Source organism: Homo sapiens, chromosome 4 (genome assembly GCF_000001405.40).
Source record: "Homo sapiens chromosome 4, GRCh38.p14 Primary Assembly".
In the NCBI taxonomy this organism is placed as follows: Eukaryota; Metazoa; Chordata; class Mammalia; order Primates; family Hominidae; genus Homo; species Homo sapiens.
The window spans coordinates 26,730,570-26,750,673 of record NC_000004.12 but is presented as its reverse complement, the minus strand read 5'-3'; the positions used below and the strand labels follow the sequence as shown (position 1 = coordinate 26,750,673).

The 20,104-nt window shown below is 34.4% G+C and overlaps 1 protein-coding gene across 13 annotated transcripts in view; it reads right to left on the bottom strand.

Annotated features, from left to right (window-relative positions):
• Positions 1 to 20,104, bottom strand: part of TBC1D19 (TBC1 domain family member 19) — a 282,243-nt gene that overhangs the window by 108,246 nt on the left and 153,893 nt on the right. For 10 of the 13 annotated variants that reach the window (XR_007057937.1, XR_001741277.2, XR_007057936.1 and 7 more), the window contains 4 exons: positions 15,187 to 15,219; positions 10,701 to 10,810; positions 8,075 to 8,166; positions 2,148 to 2,263 (listed from right to left, as the gene is read on the bottom strand). Coding sequence is in view for 6 of the 13 variants with exons in the window: in XM_047415904.1 (XP_047271860.1) it covers positions 2,148 to 2,263; positions 8,075 to 8,166; positions 10,701 to 10,810; positions 15,187 to 15,219 (351 nt within the window). In the remaining 7 variants the exon portion in view is untranslated. Of the gene's footprint in view, positions 1 to 2,147; positions 2,264 to 8,074; positions 8,167 to 9,940; positions 9,996 to 10,700; positions 10,811 to 15,186; positions 15,220 to 20,104 lie in introns of those variants that run through there. The other 3 variants (XR_007057938.1, XR_007057939.1, XR_007057940.1) reach the window with 3 other exon arrangements.

Genomic DNA, 20,104 nt, shown 5'->3' with positions numbered 1-20,104 from the left:
AGCAATAATGCAGACTACATTTCTACCTATTCTTCAGTAACGTTTTTATTAATTATTGAGCTCATAGAAGAGTGCCTGGCTTACAGCAAATACAGTATTCAACATACATTTATTTCTCTTTTCCTTCAGTTTGCTAAGGGATGATAAGGCACAGAATGAGAGAATTTAAATTGAAAGAGGGCTTGGAGGTTTTCTAATTCAACATTTCTTTCAAGGTATGAAACCTCTTGACCCTTCACATAACAGTTAAAGAACCCATTCTACTTTTTGAAAGTCCTAATTATTAGAAAATATTTTCTTAGACTGAGCCCTCCTTTTAAACATGCTTTAATGTCTCTTTAAAATGATACAGAAAGCTATACACAGTAATCTTCAAATTTTCTGGCACACTCAGAGGACAGACATTTGGTTAAAAGTCTACAATTCTCTCACTTGAGAAATGACAGTAGAAAACAAGGCTACTTAGCTTGGAAAATAGAAGACTTTGGGGAGAGGCGAAAATGTGAGAGTAGAGAAAACATGATAATTACTTTGGTTTAATAGGGGTACATGTAATGAGCCATATTATCCAGAAATGAAATGGGCCACGAGGTAAGGCAGGGATTGCCCAATACTGAAGTGTCCCAGCAGAGGATAAGAAAGGCTTGTGAACAATGTTTAGAAAAAGTTATACTCAACACCCTTGAGGATTCCTTCTCTTGCTAGATTATATATGTTACTGCCATTCAGCCAAAAGAAATGAGGGCAGACCATTATTTCCTAAATCATATTTGTATAGGTTTTTAAAAAAATTGAGACAGAACACTAGAAGTTGCTAAAAACATTAATCAGTGGTATCTCTGATTATACCAGGGTAATTGCCACCCAGGGACATATGCTACCCAGTAACTATAACTATAGACTTCTCAGCATTCAAGAATATGTTAAGGCTGGGCCTGGAGGCTCACACCTGTAATCCCAGCACTCTGGGAGGCCGAGGCGGGTGGATCACTTGAGGTCAGGAGTTTCAGACCAACCTGGCCAACATGGTAAAACCCCGTCTCTACTAAAAATACAAAAATTACCTGAGTGTGGTGGCAGGCGCCTGTAATCTCAGCTATTCGGGAGGCTGAGGAAGGAGACTCTCTTTAACCCAGGAGGTGGAGGTTGTAGTGAGCCAAGATCATGCCACTGTACCCCAGGTTGGGCCACAGAGTAAGAGTGTCTCAAAAAAAAAAAAAAAAAACAACCCGAATATGTTAATATGATACCTAGAGAATCTTCCTATCATATTCTTCTTCAACTAAGCTTTATTTCCACAGCAGCCCAGAGAGGTGATTTTATAATGCTATCAATTTAAGGTATGGAAACATTCTGCCAACTTTTCTGATCCCTATCTATTGTGAAAACTTTGTAATTATTATTTGAATTTCCTGGTAATCTCACTAATAAAGTAATTGAGTCTATTGTGCACAAGAGAAGCAAAATAATATAATTAATAAGAAATATATGCCTTCTTTGTAATCATATAATTGCCTTGGGCATACATCTGTTGTAAGAACTGCTTAATTATTAAATAAAAGATAAATTTGTGGCTTTGAAAAAAAGATGAAATAGTTTTTGGCCTGAGAGAATAAAAGGGGAAACTCAGCCACCAGGGAGGAAGTCAGAGACTGTTAGCAAAAAGGAAAAGGTTTTAACTTCATTTATAAATAGACACAGAAGAGCTGAGGTTTCAGCCATGTAGGGAGGCTTAGCCTCAGTTTGGATCTTAGGTGTTGAGATGGGGCATAGAACAGACTGCTAAGGTAGCCAGGGGAGTCCAGAGTAGAAGGGAAGTATATCTACACTCTGCTGCACAGACCTCATAGGTGTTGGGAGATAGTGAGACCTAGCTGGACTAAAAGGGGAGAGGGAAAGGGAAGGGAAAATGAACTTTCCTGGGAGCTGGGAAGAAAGACTAGAAGTAGGCTGGTATTGTGCAGTTACATAAAAGTATCAAGACTGCAGTTTTTGTTCGTACTTATCGTCAAAGCCAGATATATCTATTAATTGTTCATGAATTAGAAGTGACAAATAAATTCCAGTTACGGATGGTGAATGTTAGGAAGAAAAGGGGACTTATTATAGAAACAGCATGTGTTCTACAAACAAGCATTTACTCTTACCAGCAAGAATTTCCAGAGAGTTGTATCCTAGGATTCTATCCCATAAAAGCAAGAGCTGATCTGTAGCTAAGTATCCAGAGAAAGCTCGAACCATCCACTTAAATGATATGCGAAGTCTATAAGCAAGGAAAAATAAAAATTAATGTACCACTGAAATTTTTTCTCATGAAAATGCAATATCAGAAGAACCCAACCAATTCTATTCAAGAGTCTTAGAAATCACCTGGGCATTTAAAACTTAAGTACTTTCTTGAAAGCTGCAAGAGTGCAGTGGTGAGAAACCATAAGTCCTCAAATTAGTGGTCTTAAAGTATTAAGAGGAAGAATTACACATGCTGGGTCCTCCTTTACTCTAGAGGTCAGCTTTTATAAAACCCATTTCTACATTCTGTTTTTCAGAGTGTATACTACTTAGCTATCAATGAGCTGACCTTCTGACAGTCTTAACAATTCCAGGCAATCTATAATAATTTGAATTTTTATTCAAAATACTTGAAAGATTGTTCAATGCCTGCATATTTTCTCAATTTAATAAATTATTTTCTACATTTCAGTCAAATGGCTATATAGGATGAATAAAATAAAATAACAAGTATGAGTATAAGGACAAAAATAGTTTTAAAGCTATGAGACATTAGAAATAGATTTCTGATTTCAAACACTTCATTTTAGTTAGGAGGTTATAGAACTCTGAAAGATCAGCCAGAAAATTCAATTAAATTCCATTTTGCTAAAACAATTCTAAGATGTATGAGATCTTACTACTTACAAGTAGGTTATGTTACAATAACAATTTATCTCTGAAATCAGGAAATGAACTCTTTGGCTCTGGTGCCTTAAGGGATCAACCAGTTCTTCATATTTCTGTATTATCTATTAGCATCTAATATCACTTGACTGTCCCTGACAGGTACTAGCTAAACTGTTTGCTGGAATTATCATATTTTGTCAATAAACATCTGTGCTATTCTCTTAAAAGACAGAAAAGGACCCAGAGGTTGCCTTGGTTGGTGTCATTGTATTAATTATCTTAAGACTGAAAAAGATCCTCAAGTTTCAGAAATTCCTCAATACTGCATAACTATTGTTCTAATATAACAAAGTACATGTAGGCACTAGTATTGACTAAGCTTTTTGGGTGGTTTTAGAATATCTCTTTATATATACAAAAGAAACTTTGGGCCACTGGATATTTTAATAACTTACAAAATACATTTGAATTTAAAGTCAAAATTATTAACTTCAGCTTGCTTCATTTTACTCAAATTCTCATAGTGTCATATTTGAGGAATAGTGCCACACATCCCCACCCACCAATATAGAAATAACATAGCATAGCTTTTTAGAAATAAAGCTTATTGTGCTATAATTTATGTATAGTCATCCTCCTACGGTTTCACTTTCTGTGGTTTCAGTTACCCATAGCCAACTGTGGTCACCAACAGTCCAAAAATATTAAATGAAAAATTCCAGAAATAATCCATAACTTTTAAATTGTGTGCTGTTTTGAGTAGCCTGGTGAAAGCTCGCACGGTCCCACTCCAGATATGAATCATCCCTTTGTCAGGTGTATCTATGCTGTACGTGCTACCCACATGTTAGTCACTTAGAAGCCACATTGGTTATCAGGTTGACTGTCCTGGTATCACAGCGCCTGTGTTCAAGTGACCCTTTTTTTTTTAACTTAATAATGGCCCCAAAGAGTAAGAGTAGTGATGCTTGCATATTGTTATAATTGTTCTATTTTATTATTAGTTATTGTAAATCTCTTGCTGTGCCTAATTATAAATTGAACTTTATCATAGTTATTCATATATAGGGAAAAACATCATGGTGTATATACAGGGCTCAGTACTATCCACAGTTTCAGGCACCCACTGGGGGTCTTGGAATATATCTCCCACAGATAAGGGGAAACTACAGTATAGCAGAAATTACCCTTATTAGTGTACAGTTCAATATGTTTTGTATGAAGAACCAGATGGAAATTATAGAACTGAAAAATACAATAACCGAAAAACCACACAAAAACATCTCACTAGATGGGATCCAATAGTAAAATGAGAATGATGGAGGAAAGAGCCAGAGAATTTGACTATAGATCAGTAGAAAATGTCCAATCTACACAATACAGAAAAAGGATTAAGAAAAAGTGAAGGGCTGTGTGTGGTGATGGCTGTAATCCCAGTGCTTTCGGAGGCTGAGACAGGAAGGAATACTTGAAGCCAGGAGTTTGAGACCAGCCTGAGCAACAAAGCAAGAACCTATCTCTATGGAAAAAAAAAAAAAAAAAATAGACCTGCAAGGACCTGTGAGAAAATAACAAACCTTATTTTTCTTCATCTTCTTTTTTTCTTTTATATCAAAAGTTTGAACATTTGTGCCACTGGATTGCCAGAAGAAAAGAAGAATGAGTATGGTGCAGAAAAAAATATTTAAAGTAATAATGGGTCAAAACTGCCAAATTTGGCAAAAGACATAAACTTATAAATTCAAGCTTAGCAAACACCCAAGAGGATAAATCCAAAGAAATCTATGCCTAGATATATCATAATCAAAGTGGTGAGAACTGAAAACAAAAATCTTGACAGTAGCCACAGAAAAATAAGGATTGATATCACTTCTTCCTGGAGTGCTTGGTAGAATTTGCCAGTGAAGCCATCTAGGCCTGAAGTTTATTTGAAGGTAGAATGTGATTAATTAAAGAAGTATATTGGCTGGGTGCGGTGGCTCACACCTGTAATCCCAGGACTTTGGGAGGCCAAGGCAGGCAGATTGCCTGAGGTCAGGAGTCCGAGACCAGTCTGGCCAACATGGTGAAACCCCGTCTCTACTAAAAATACAAAAAAAAAATTAGCTGCGCATGGTGGCGTGCACCTGTAATCCCAGCTACTTGGGAGGCTGAGGCAGGGGAATTGCCTGAACCAGGGAGGTGAGGTTGCAGTGAGCCAAGATCGCATCACTGCACTCCAGCCTGGGTGACAGAGTGAGACTCCATCTCAAAAAAAAAAAAAAAAAAAAAAAAAAAAGAAGTATATTGTAAACCTCATGGCACCTATCAAAAACATACTTTAAAAGTATAAAAATCTAATAGTGGAGATAAAATGGAATAAAAAATGTTCAATTCAAAAGTAGGCAGAGAATGAGAAAAAAGGAATAAAGAGAACATGGAATAACTAAAAAAATTTAGTAATATAGTTGATTCCAATTCAATAATATCAATTTTATTAACTATAAATGGTATAAACACACCGATTAAGAAACAGACTGCCACATAGGAAGACCCAACTTTCGATAAGAAATCCACTTAAAAAAAGATATTGATAATCAATATGTTAAGTAAAAGAATAGAAAAGAATGTATCATGCAATTATAATCAAAAGAAAGCTGGAATGGCTATATTAATATCAGACATAGTAGATTTATTACTAGGAATAAAACAGGACATTATATAATAATAAAGTGATCAATTCTCCTAAAAACAAAGCATCCAAATACGTGAAGAAAAAGACAAAGCACTAAAGGAAGACATAGACAAAATCCACAATTATAATTAGAGCTGATCACATTTCTCTTTCAATAATTAATAGAAAAAGTAGACAGAAAATTAGTAAGTGTATACAAGGTTTGAACATCATTATTAACAAACTTGATTCCTTGACATTTATATGACATTCTGCCCGATACTTGCAGAATACAAATTTTTTTCAGGTGCACATGGACCAAGACAGATCATGTTCTGGATCAAAAAACAAACTTCAACACATTTAAAACAACTGAAATCATGTGAAGCATGCTGTTTAACTGCAACAGAATTAAAACAGAAATAAATGCCAGAAAGATAGCTTTCCAAATATTTAGAAATTAAACAACGTACTTTTACATAACCCATATTCAAAGAGGAAACCACAGGATAAATTATGAAACATTTCTAATTAAATAAAAATGAAAATATAACATATCAAAATTTGTTAGGTGGAGGTAAATAAGTAATTTGAGGGAAATCTGTAACATTAATGCTTATATTAGAAAAAAAGAAAGTCCCAAATCAATGATCTAACTTCTACCTTAAACAAGCAGAAAGACAAGAGCAAAATAAATCTAATGCAAGCAAAAAGAAGAAAATAATAAATATAAGAGTAAAAATAAATAAAATTAAAGTAGAAAAACAACAGAGAAAAAGAATCAATGGTACAAAAAACTGATTCTTTCAAAGATGAATAAAATTGATAAACCTGCAGCCAGAATAATCAAGAAAAAATGGGAGATAATACAATTACTAATCTCAGGAATGACAAAGATGATGTCACTACTAACCCTATAAATATTAAAAAGGCTAAGCATAGAGAATATTATGAATAACTTTCTGTTTATAAATATGATAACCTAGTAAAAGACATAAACTACTGAAGCTTATTCAAAAAGAAATAGATAACCCAAGTAGTCCTATATCTATTAAAGAAATTAAATTCAAAATTAAAAAACCTTCCAAAAGCTTCAGTTTTTAAAAAAATGATTTCTACCTTGACAATTAGAATTTTTACACTTTTCCTATATAGGAATTTTAATGTTTATCATGTCATTGAAATAAATTTATTTCTTTTAATGAGTAAAGTATACAAACAGGCTAGAAAAAATATTTGTTTCTAGTAATGAACTAAATGTCTTCATCCTAGTAAAGAAAACCCTACTTATACTCCAATGTTCATTTCACAATAGCAAAAAGAAGTCAATTTACTACAAGAATAAAAGTCTTATGCTCAATATAAAATATTTCTGAATCATGAATAGAATTTTGTTTTTTAATGGCTATAAAGGAAAGGGTATCCACTCAGTATTATCAATGGATGATATGAGGTATTATTTTATAAAGGCCATCTCTAAGATGTCTGAAATTCAATGGTACTTTATAAAAAGGAGATTATATATCTACCTATCTCTATCTCCATCTTGATTGTTATCTCCATCTTTATAATCAGTCAATCTTGAAACAACTCTGCAAGGTACTAATTCTCTTGATTTTTAAGATAAACAAACTGAATTATCTTAACGTAAAGAAATTGAGGCTTTGATAAATTAAAAAACTTCACCAGGATTACAAAGCTTAACAGAAATGGAATTTGAATCTGGATTAAATTTCCACCCACTGAGCTATCTATTTGCTATGGATTCAAGAGTGGAGAAGACAAATGCTATACTATTCTATCTCCCACTAACTTCTTTTGTGGCCTCAAGGAGTTAATACTTTTTTCAAATATGCCCTCCTTAACAGGAGAAAATAGCTGCACAGAGAAGACAGGAAGAAAACACTGATAAACCATTTGGAAAGTTCTCTTGCTTTAGACATTTTTTTTTAAAAGAGAGAGATAGAACCAATAATCTTGAAGTCCAGAGATACTATACATATTCACTTATAACTCATGCTGAGACCAATGAACAAAACTCAAATTTTAGAAAGGAGAAATCACAGTGTACAACCATTGATAGGTACCTGATTTGCTTTCCTTTAAGAAAAGACAGCCAACTTTAACTTTTATAGTTTTCATAGGTTATTCTCTGATAAATGTGGCCTATATTGAATTAAGTTTAGTATGATCATGTTTCTCAGGTAGTATTTGTTTCCACAAATGTTTGCTTCAGTTTTGGCTGACACCTTTCGTTATGAATAGAAATTGGTTCATTTTGGTGATTCTTGTACCAGACACAAAAATCCTAGTAAATAAGACTTTATTAGGATTTTGGTAATTCTTTCAAGAATTTTTGGAACAATGTTATTACAATTTACTAATTGATAATTATAGTTTTATTAGGAAAACTGTTAGCTTAATGTCTCTGAAAAATTACGTATTTGCAAGTGCTCTGCAATGAGGAAAAAAGAGCTTTCTGTGAAACTATCTATTCTTCAATTAGGAGAGAAAAGTACTCACGGTTGAGCCCCAATTTCTCGTAGATGATAAAAGAGTTGGGGAAGATAAGTTTGAAGAAGAGTTTCAAACAGCAGACAGAGTGACACAATACCCTGGATACAATAATGAATCATAAGAGAAATAGATATTTTAATATTTAAAAATTAACTATGCCAACAAATTATTCAAATGGAAAATGAGAAACTATCAACATAAATTTTCTTTATACTGTTTAAGAGTCAAAAACATGAAATGTATTAAAGAATCTCTAACATTGTGTTTAGAGATAAACTTTATCCTCTTTATATATACTCACACATACAGATGTGCTAAAGAGCCTCCCTTTTTACACAATATGCTCCCCACATAAACCAGTATATAATATTTGGAGAGTCCAAGGAAAATATCACCTTACAGAAAACTTGCTACTTTGCAAGCCACTATGATTACTTAGCCCCAGCAAAATTAGTTTTTATCTGAATGCATTCCAGTTTCCAGTTATTTCCCTAGTGCTATATAGCCACCTTCACTCTCCCTCCATATGTCCCTTCCCCTCCAGCCTCACTCACTAGGGAAAATACTGCCTGCTTTTCTCACTCTTTCTTTGAAATCTACCCCCAGGAAAAGACTAGCAGCTAGCTGCTTTAAATTTGCTTCAGAAGTTATTGAACAAGAATGTTTGATTACTTAGTATACACATATTTTTTAAAACTAAAATCTACTGTTTTTAAAAGGGCATTATTTGTAAAGTACAAAACCAATTTAAGCAGATAGTTTTTCAAGTACATTTATTATTTGACAACTCTGAATAAAGTCTTTCCTGCAGCTTAGCATTCCTCAGAGTTTATCTTTGTAAGGAAGTTTTAATCCTCTTTTTGTGTTTCTAAAGAAAAAAAGACTGTCATGGTTCCAAATAGTTCAGTCTAGCTGCAAGCCAAAAAAGGTGGTGACTGCCCGTAAGTTTTTACTCCTCTGAATAAAAAAAAAAAAAAGGACAGAGGCAGGCCTGGCTCAATCAATTCGCTGAAAAAGAATACCCAGGGCCACCAGCATAGAGATAGACAAGAAATACCCAGAGTTGCCCAGTGCCAGGCTTCAGTGCTCTGCACAGGGAGAACACCATGGGTGTGTGCTATGCAGCCAGTTTTTTTAAACTCTGAAGCATAAAATGGCATAGAATATGAGCATAGAAATATGATACTTAGAACTGAATATCAGAAAAGAATTATTAATCTTTTTTTTTTTTTTTTTTTTTTTTGAGACAGAGTCTCGCTCTGTCGCCCAGGCCGGACTGCGGACTGTAGTGGCGCAATCTCGGCTCACTGCAAGCTCCGCTTCCCGGGTTCACGCCATTCTCCTGCCTCAGCCTCCCGAGTAGCTGGGACTACAGGCGCCCGCCACCGCGCCAGGCTAATTTTTTGTATTTTTAGTAGAGACGGGGTTTCACCTTGTTAGCCAGGATGGTCTCGATCTCCTGACCTCATGATCCACCCGCCTCGGCCTCCCAAAGTGCTGGGATTACAGGCGTGAGCCACCACGCCCGGCCAGAAAAGAATTATTAATCTTAATTATTGGTCATATTTCTGATTATTCCAGATTAAATATTAAAGTAAGATAAGAACAAAATCAAGTTCTCTTAGAGATAAGAAACCCAGGATAACTGGTGTTGCTTCATTTGTTTATCTGTAACATCCTGGAATTCTGTGATTTGCCAACTTTCACTAGCGATGTATGAAAGCAAAACTGGAGATGGAGGAAGGTGAAATAGGAATATATAGGCTTAGAATGGGGGGATAAAGAACAGCTATTTAATTTCATAGCAATAATACAGTTGCCTCTTTGGGGAAATTTAGTAGCCCTGACATATATTCCAATTGAATGTTTCACCTGGAGTAGCAGTCATGTTACCCACAGCAGGTCCAAAGGGGGAAAAAAAGCATAACTGAAATAAAATAAATACTGCTCTTAGTCAGGTTTATGGGAAGGGAAAAAAAAGATATGATAAAGGAACAGCCAAAAGAGAACAGATTAAAATGTTCAACTCCTAAATATATGCTTTTCCTTGATTCTTATATTGTAGGCCAAAGGATCATTTTATTGAATACAAAGAAAATATGTACTATTATAACTGATAATTAGCCAAATATGAAATTGGCAAACAAGTGACAAATCAATACTTGATTTTCACTAACAAAGAAGAATGATGATTATAATTATAACAACAACGGCCATTTATTTACTGAACACCTGCGAGGAGCCAAGCACTAACTACACTGAGTGCTTTGTAGACTTTTCTACAGCACTAGAGATAATATATTATTTACTTCATTTCATAGATAAGAAATGAGAAAAGAAGGTAGGCATCTTTGCTAAGAATAATAATACAGACATTCTAATTTTTTTAATATGTAAAAGAAAAAAATCATTTAAATGTAGTTGACAAGAGACTTTTTCTGTTTAAATTATTACCAAAATATTTAAATATCAATTTCATCTTCTCTGTCATTTTTGCAATAAAAACACATTGCTTGACATCACAAATTAAAATTTGTTGCGTTAGAATTTGAGTAGAAGACTTTTTCTTAACAGAAAGAAAGAATAGATTACAATCCAACCTAATTTGATCAAGTTTTTCTTATGAACTTACAGAAGGATGAGAAGAGATGGAATGGAGTCTGAAGAAAAAACGCACATACATCTCACGGAATATCTGATACAATTTGGAAGGTTCATGGTATAGAAAACAAAGTGGTGCAACTGAAAGAAAAAAATTAATTTATAATACTGCAGAACTACTGAAATGTTAAGATAAATTTATAAAATATGTCATAATAAATCACTATTTTATAGTAATCATATACACCACCAGACAAGTTTAAAATCATACTACTTTTTTTCATTTTGAGAGGGGAATATATGCATATGTAAAGTTCAAACAGCCATTAAATATTATACAGAAAGGAATATATTACAAACTATTATAATCCCAATTTAACAGATGCCTAAGAATGATATTATGGAATTATACAGAAATATGAAAAGTTCCAAGTAACTTATAAAAACTACATAAGTCAAATCTCTCCTTTTTTTAATTGAAGTAATAAGAAAATAACAACCAGGCAGCTTATTTTTACTTTCTCTCACAAAAGATTCAGGCCACATTTCAAAATTTTTAATTTTGGAAGTCAGGTAAGTAAAACAGATGATTTATGACTTTTAGAATCATGGTCTTCAATTAATTCAATTTGAAAATAAAGATTTTGAGTAATAGCTGTATACTACTGGTCTTTATCGCTATATCCCCATATATATTCATCAACTGAAAACAATCCTTAGGCAGAAAGGATTTATTTCTCTAATGAATGTAGAATTGACTGCCCCCAGTTTGTAGCAATTAAGCACAGCTGGGTCAACTCAACCAGACATTCCACAGTTGAATGTCAGAAAGTCCTAATCTTGGATTGGCGACCTACCTGAGCATGTGATTATTCTACACTGACAAAGGTGGTCATGCTTTCCATCTTTTCAAGCCTTAAGTATTTTAGGCAGCATAGAGACAAATTTATAATGCAGATAGATACAACTGCATTACCTAAATATTAATTTTAATAAAAAATGCCTTACAGGGTAATTTCAAACAATATGTATTGGACAAGTAAGAATTTCTGGGGCTCTATAATCTGTTGGTAATGCTCTGAGGGCAATAAGCACTAAGTAAGCAAGGAAGTCAGTGGGCCAGTTGTGCTCTCTTCTTTTTGACAAAGTAAAAGGAAAAATAGTAAAATATTTTAAATTCTTTCAAACACAAAAGTTCAATTTTCTGGGATAAACAGCAATGCACAGTATTACTGATAAATAAGTCATTAAAAATTAGCATTGCAAGTGAGAATTTTTATTTTTTCTGAAGGGCAAAAGAGAAATCACTTTTGGGGGTAAATATCTAAATTCATATAAAAATACATACTTGTATATATATAGAAAAATGTATTACAATATGTATTATAAATAAAATTTAAAAAAGACAGGTATGTCTATTTCAAGACTAATTTTTAAAACTTATTTTACTATTAAATAAATTGCTACTTATAAAAACAGCCCAAATTAGGATATTTCATATATTTACAAATAGTAACTCATGCTCTAATTACAATAACAACCTAAGAAACAACAGTGTGGTACAAATATATGGTATTATTATAAATCTAAGACTAAGGTTTGGAACTTCTTTATTTTTAAAAAATGATGCATATTTTTTCCTCCAATTCTTAGATATTGATATGTGAAAACTTATAACCTGAATCTGAAGATGGTATGGATTCAGTAATTATTAATGAAAATTTCCAGTGAAGAAATGAAAAGAGAATTTTAAAATAAGCATGTTTCTACGAATACATAAAATATAAAAGAAATTTACAATTAGTTTTTATTCAAGATACCACAGTTGTTTATGTTGAATTCCTTTATATAGCTATGAAATGGAAAAGCTTTAGTCCATTATAGATTATATGTAAAAAAGATTCTACATGACTTAATTTTTAATTTTAAGCATCCTTTCCTATTTGGTTCTTCCATAAAAATAAATTTAGCTAATTATCTTTTAAACCAATGAAAGACTATACTGTAGGAATTTATGACACCATAATATACTATACACCTACAATAAAACTTCATTAATCTGCATAAATAGAAGAGCAGAAGGTATTTTAAATTAGAGAAGAGTTCTGAGTAAATTTTAAAATAAATTACTATCTTTTGGTTTCCTTTTTAATGACAGCCTATCATTAAAGATCTGTATCAATGTTTAAAAGAGATAAGTATTATAATTTTAAAGAAATATAGTAACTAAAACTGAAATGGCAAAGTACTAACTAGAGTTCCTTAGGGATGATTTGTGATTATTTTTGTACACTGGTTCTAAATAAGTGGTTGCTGGTAAAGTTTTTGTGGATGTTTAAAATAGTTTTCTAAAATAGTATAAATAAATTCCATATCAAACATTTTGCATCATTGTTAGCAAATGCTTTCCCCTTGGGTGTATAAACTGTAGCCTATTTAAATGACCATAAATGTGAATAGGCAGAGGCTGAGTCAATGATATATTTTAAACACCAGAAGATCTTGCTAGAAGATTTAAACTTTGATGACATCAAGTATCCTCCAAATCATTCAAGTACAACTTCCAAAAACGATTTACTTGAAAAATTTTTGCAGTTGGAACTATTAAAGTAGAAAGATAAAAAGTGAACATTTTTATTATTAGATGTAAAAATTTATATTATTAATCTTTTTTGGTTTTCTATTTTAAATTCTTCACATATATAAGATAAATACGCTGTAAGGTCTCTATAACATTATGTATTATGTTATGAAATTTTGGTTGCCCAAGAGAATAAAGCTGAGTACCCTATAATTCAAGCCTGTGACTAACACCAAGTATAGCATAAAGTCCCTAGGTACTTTGACTCGTTTTCATTGAACGATAGTTTTATATTATGTCATTCACCACGACCATCTGATGTTGAACACTGATGTTTACAAAGAAAAGTGTTTATTGCAGATTCTTGGTACAAAGGCAAAACATTAATGTATTTCTGTTCATTCTAAAGGTAGGGGATAGAAATAAAGGGGACAACAATCTTTAATAAGTTTATATGTAACACTTGAAAACTTAAAAATTAAGTGGCATTAAAGTGTAGAGAGTTCTTCCTTTTGCTAATCTTCATAAGCTTCTTGCATTCCTCATTTAATGACACATGAGGCCTCAGAGACACTCAGAGCTCTCAAGCCTGCATATGCATCACCCACGTGTATCTCAGGTGACTGAATGCTCTGATGTAATTGTGGCTGTGCATATAAGTAGCCTGGAGAAATCATGAGCTCAAACTCAGTACTGTTCCTTCCTTAGCATTCTTTCTGACCTATTATTTTCAAAAAACTCTTAAGAGAATTACCTTAGGAATTTAAGCCATCTGATTTTACACCTATTAGAGCTAAATATTAATATGTATCTCTAGTTTCCATTGGACTAAAAAATGGTAAACCACAGGACCATTTTCACAGTATGTTCTATTTTTTTATTATACTTTAAGTTTTAGGGTACATGTGCACATTGTGCAGGTTAGTTACATACGTATACATGTGCCATGCTGGTGCGCTGCACCCACTAACTTGTCATCTAGCATTAGGTATATCTCCCAATGCTATCCCTCCCCCCTCCCCCAACCCCACAACAGTCCCCAGAGTGTGATGTTCCCCTTCCTGTGTCCATGTGATCTCATTGTTCAATTCCCACCTATGAATGAGAATATGCGGTGTTTGGTTTTTTGTTCTTGCGATAGTTTACTGAGAATGATGATTTCCAATTTCATCCATGTCCCTACAAAGGACATGAACTCATCATTTTTTATGGCTGCATAGTATTCCATGGTGTATATGTGCCACATTTTCTTAATCCAGTCTATCATTGTTAGACATGGGTTGGTTCCAAGTCTTTGCTATTGTGAATAATGCCACAATAAACATACATGTGCATGTGTCTTTATAGCAGCATGATTTATAGTCCTTTGGGTATATACCCAGTAATGGGATGGCTGGGTCAAATGGTATTTCTAGTTCTAGATCCCTGAGGAATCGCCACACTGACTTCCACAATGGTTGAACTAGTTTACAGTCCCACCAACAGTGTAAAAGTGTTCCTATTTCTCCACATCCTCTCCAGCACCTATTGTTTCCTGACTTTTTAATGATTGCCATTCTAACTGGTGTGAGATGGTATCTCATTGTGGTTTTGATTTGCATTTCTCTGATGGCCAGCAGCCTCCCAAAATGCTGAGATTACAAGCGTGAGCCACCACGCCTGGACTATTAAACTCAACATTTTAAAACGTTCATAATAACTTGTGGGTGATTAGAAATAAAGTGGTGTTCTTTTTGTTCAATTTTCTAATGTGTAATAAAAATAATAATTAAAAAAAATGAAGCCCCTATGGGGAACTAGCATGCATTTCACTTTATTTTTTCCTTTATTGTTTTACTATAGTAAAACAATTATATCTGTCAGTCATTATTTTTTAAATTGACAGATAACATTGTATGTTTTGTGTACATTATGATGTTTTTAAAGCCCAACTTACCATACATTGAAAATCCATGAAAAGGGATAACACCTAAAAAAAAAAAGGTATTTCTTTTCAATAAGTAGTAGGCCTACTGATTATTAGGTAAGCTTTAAAAGATTAAAACTGACAATAAAAAGGTTTTCTATTTTTGCTTCAACTCTGTTCATAAATGTCAGAAAGACTTAGTGATAGTAAACAATAAAGAGATATTTTTAATACCTTCAGAAAAGTAAACTAGAGGCTTTAAAACATATATCCAGTTAACATTCTATTAATATTGAGAAATCAAAGCTTTGAATATATATATGTGTATATATACGTGTATATATGTGTACATACATATACACATACACACATATGTGTATACAAATATACACACACATGTGTATACATATATACATATATACATGTGTATACATATATACATGTGTATACATATATACATATATACATGTGTGTACACATATACATATATACATGTGTATACACATATACATATGTGTATACATATATACATATACATATGTGTATACATATATACATATACATATGTGTATACATATATACACACATATATGTGTATGTACACATGTGTGTATATATACACACACATACGTATACATATACACACACAAAACAACAGGACAAAAACATAACGAGACAGATCACAGAATTAAGTTTAAGAACTAATTATAATGGTCTCAGAAAGTCAATAGATTATGTCCCTCCTGAAACAACTTCACTGTGTATATTAGAATCGAATATGCTAAAAGATAAGTGAGCTTTTCAAGGCACTTCTTGAAAACATTTGCTTTACAGAAAACACTATGGGTGTTAAGTAAACTAACTGAAAATTAATCATGGGATATGGCTTTAGAAGAAATATTGGCAGAAATACGATACAAATTCAGTATAATCTTTGGCAATAATTACACACAAGTAAAGTACACATCCTTTTCAAATAAATACTCAAAGCCTAACTTGGTGTGCTAAACATCGTCTCACATTCCAAGTAAAAAATTTGAATTTGTACAGTTTAGTTCAAAACAGAAGTTTTGTAATATATACCACCATATAGCTAACACTACTAAATCAGGTTGCAAACACAGCACAGAAGAAAGCTGCTAAGTTACATTTTTGAAAAATAATATAGAAATGCTTTATTCAGACATGTTCACAGGCAAAAATTTTGTGCTTGTGGTCATATAGAGTGAGTTCTAATAAATGATAGTTCAGCCTCAGTTTAAAACATGTCCAGCGATAGCAGAAGCATTAATTCCCAATGCAACTCATTACAATTTTGAATGGGTTTAATTTGGAAGGAGCTATTTTCTCATAGTGAGCCAAACTCTGGCTCCCTGAAATTTCTACTTAGTATTCTTAGTTCTGACTACAAAGGTCACACAGAACAAATCTAATTTATCTTCTATGTGAAAATGTTCAGAAATATTTGAAGACACTGCTCTCTCTCCTGCTCTATCACCATCAGGATTTCTTGCTCCAAGACTTCATGAATTTCTTCAAATTTTCCTGAGATGAGGTGGTCTTGAAAAGCTTCCATATTTTATTTTATTCTAACCAGTTACAGTTCACTGCAGTCCTTAAAGTGAGCTGACTAAAATCTCTAATCATTTTCCCTCCCTACACACCCAACAGCTAAGACAGTGTTCTTGGACAGTTGTTCCCGGACTTCACGAAAGGGTTATATTTTTATCCCTATTACATTTCTTCTTTGGTGAACCACTCCAGTTAGAGATAATAATCCTGAATTCTATTCTGTTATCTAATGCATTCTCTAGTTCTCCTGATTCTACAAAACTGAAAAATTTGATAAGTATACCATGTCCTCATCAAAAGCAATATAAAAATGCTGAACATGACGGGGTGAAGACTAGAATTATCAGTAGAAACTCCTTTCATATTGATGTCAATGCATTAATCAGCAACCTGTTGCGATAAGGGCATGGACTGGATGTCAGACAGACTTGGTTGGGTTCATCCGGTTCTATCACTAAAGAGTGTGTGTGTGTGTGTGTGTGTGTCTTTGCATATGTCTCTTAACTTCTCTAAGCTTTAGCTTCCTCATCTGTAAATCAGAGATAACGCTAGAACTCACATAATATGATTAAATGAGATAACAGTTGTGGCTCAGCCATTAATAAATAGCTTAGGGCCTATACTATTTATTTAAATAGCTTAGGCTATTATTTGTTAATAAGCAAATGTTAATTGTTGATGTTATCATTTACAAGTTAGTTCATACTTCTTTGTTGTTTCTAGAAGCAATTTTATCAAAAATAGTATGAGAAAAGCCAAATTATTCTGAGCTGGTATGCCAGGCCAACCATCTTCAGAATTTTGTGCAGCACTGCTTTAAGCTCACAAGTGAAAATTCTGAGGATTGACATTTTCTCTAGTCTTCTAGCACACAGATTCATGTTCTCCAACTTCTGCTGAATTTTATGTTGTGTATCAATTTTCTTATTCCTCTCTATATGATTAGCCACCCCATTCTTTCAAAATTTCCTCCCTTTTCAAGTGTTTAACACTGAATTGTAGACTTCACTTTCTCCTCACTACGAGGCTGATGCCATTGACATGAACTCCTTCCTTTGGCTGTTCTTCATATTTCATGTTTTCTCACTTACAGCCCAGAGGAGGATGTATCCTTTTTCTTTTTCACCCAACATCTTCACCTGTGCTCTAAATCGTGTTTCCTTGACTTTCAGAGTGACTGGCAAGCAGCAGTCAGGTTTGCAGCTTGTTTATGTGTGGCCTGTGAGCTAAGAATGGCTTTTACATATTTTAAAGGATTATTTCAAAAACAACAAAGAATAATATGGGACATGGACTGTTTGTGGCCAGCAAAATGTGAAATATTTACCATCTGGCTGGTTAAAGGAAAAGTCTGCCAAACCCTGCTTCGGACTCCTGCCCCATCAACCATCCCTTCCCCCTTGCTGCACATGCATCATTCCACACACATGTGCTGTGTCCCTGCGATGTGCCAGACACTGTTCTAAGAACTGTAGCTGCCATTTGATTAGGGACAAAACAATCATAATAAAAATAAGCGAATACATGTCAGATAGTAATAAGGGCTATGAAGAAAAATAATGGAGGGAAGGAGGACAAGGCCAGGCTAGGGCGGAGGAGGACTTACTGATAAAGAGCCCTTAAGCTGTGGAGGTGAGAATCATCTGACAAGGGTGACCTGGAAGCCCTAGCTTCATGTGATGATTGTCATAAACAGGGTTACCTTTACTGAGGGCAACTGGTCTTCAGCCGGATAGTGGTGGGATCTGCTCTTTACTCCTCTAACGAAGCAGAGTAGAAGCAAGGGGTGGGTGTATCTTATCAAAGTAATCATATCTTTAGTCTTTCATATTTCACTGCATCCTTTCAGCCAAGGATGTTACGAATATTCTTACACATAATAATAAGAAGAAATAAGAAAGAAGAAGAAAAAATAGGAAGGAAGGAAGAAGTAGTCAATTTTTTTTCCCGGACCCTACTTTCCCATCAAACAAATCTCTAATCTCGCTCATTTTCTCAAAGCCAGGCTTAATTTTTTTTAAACTGTATTGACTTCCTTTACTTCCTTATTATGTATCCTCAAAATCTCGCAAATGGTTTCCCATCCCTACGGACGTAACTTCTGATTGCCAAATCCAGGGGTTTCCCTTCTTTGTATGCTGTACTTAATGGCCTCACAGTCAAACTTGAGTCTACCACGGCATTGATGACACGACGCAGATCGGGCTTCTTGTCCCACAGAAACTTTTGCTGCTCAGTTTTTTGTGAGTGTTTGTTTTGTTTCTGGCAGTTCTCTCTTCTGCGCACTCCTTCAATATAGCTCTGAGACTCTGTATACTTGTTTTCTCTTTCGCTCTACCAGTATTCTCATTATTAATCCATAATACCAACCTTAAAAGCCCAGTATCCTCAGGCTCCTTCTGGTCTCTATTTTTGTAAATGACTCACCACCTCCCTAGTCATTCAGGGAAGAAACTTTTGAGTCATTTTTGCTCTCTTGTTCTCCCTTAGCCCTTATACCTAAATGTGATTATGTACCTCTCCTGTCTCTTTTGGATAAGGACCACTTAACTCTTCAGTCTTCATTCCTTCTCTGTACCCCACAAGCACTGCTCTAATCCCTCCAAATTGATCGCCACCCCTTCAGCCTCTGGGTGCAAGACAAGGGCTATAGGCAATGTTCTCCTCTACCTCTGGCCCTGTCCCTGCCCTACTCCTTCATAATTTTAAACAATAATCTTCCTAGAAAGATCTCCCTGATAGCCTTGATCCCTCCCCCTAAGCAATTCATTAATCGGTCCTCTTCTTTCAGTTGATTTGCCCTCATTGATTGAGGTACTACTCCTACACACTGTGCAATTCTGACTCCAGCACTTTCTACCTGTGTACGCTTACGTATGTTACTTAACCTGCTTCCTCATCCAAAGCTGCTTTTAGACTAAGGCACAGGGGCTTGAGCTGAGGGCTCTGTGACCCTCCTCCGGCTGTACTCCTTATCCAGAGCCAATGTTTCTCCTTCCAGACCACATCCAAGGTACCCAAGACTCTGAAATTCTGAGCCCAAAGGCTCCTAAGACAGCTTCCAGAGCCTGCATGTTCTCTTTGGTGGGGAAGAGAAGAGAAGGTATACACCTCCTGATATACCTGTATACCTCAGGACAGAGAGGTGGCCAAAGGCTGGCTATTTGTGGAAACTGTGAACAGAGGCTGGACCTGCAGGCTTCTGTCCATGAAGCCTGTCCAAGGTGTGAAGTGGAGCCGTAAATGAGAAGTGGGTGGGGATACCACAGGCTAGGGAAGGATGAAGAGTCTGATAATTCTGAATTCAAACCTGGCCTTCCAGATTGTTATCAAAGTATACGTGTCAAGGAAAGAAAATAGAGTAGACTTTATCAGT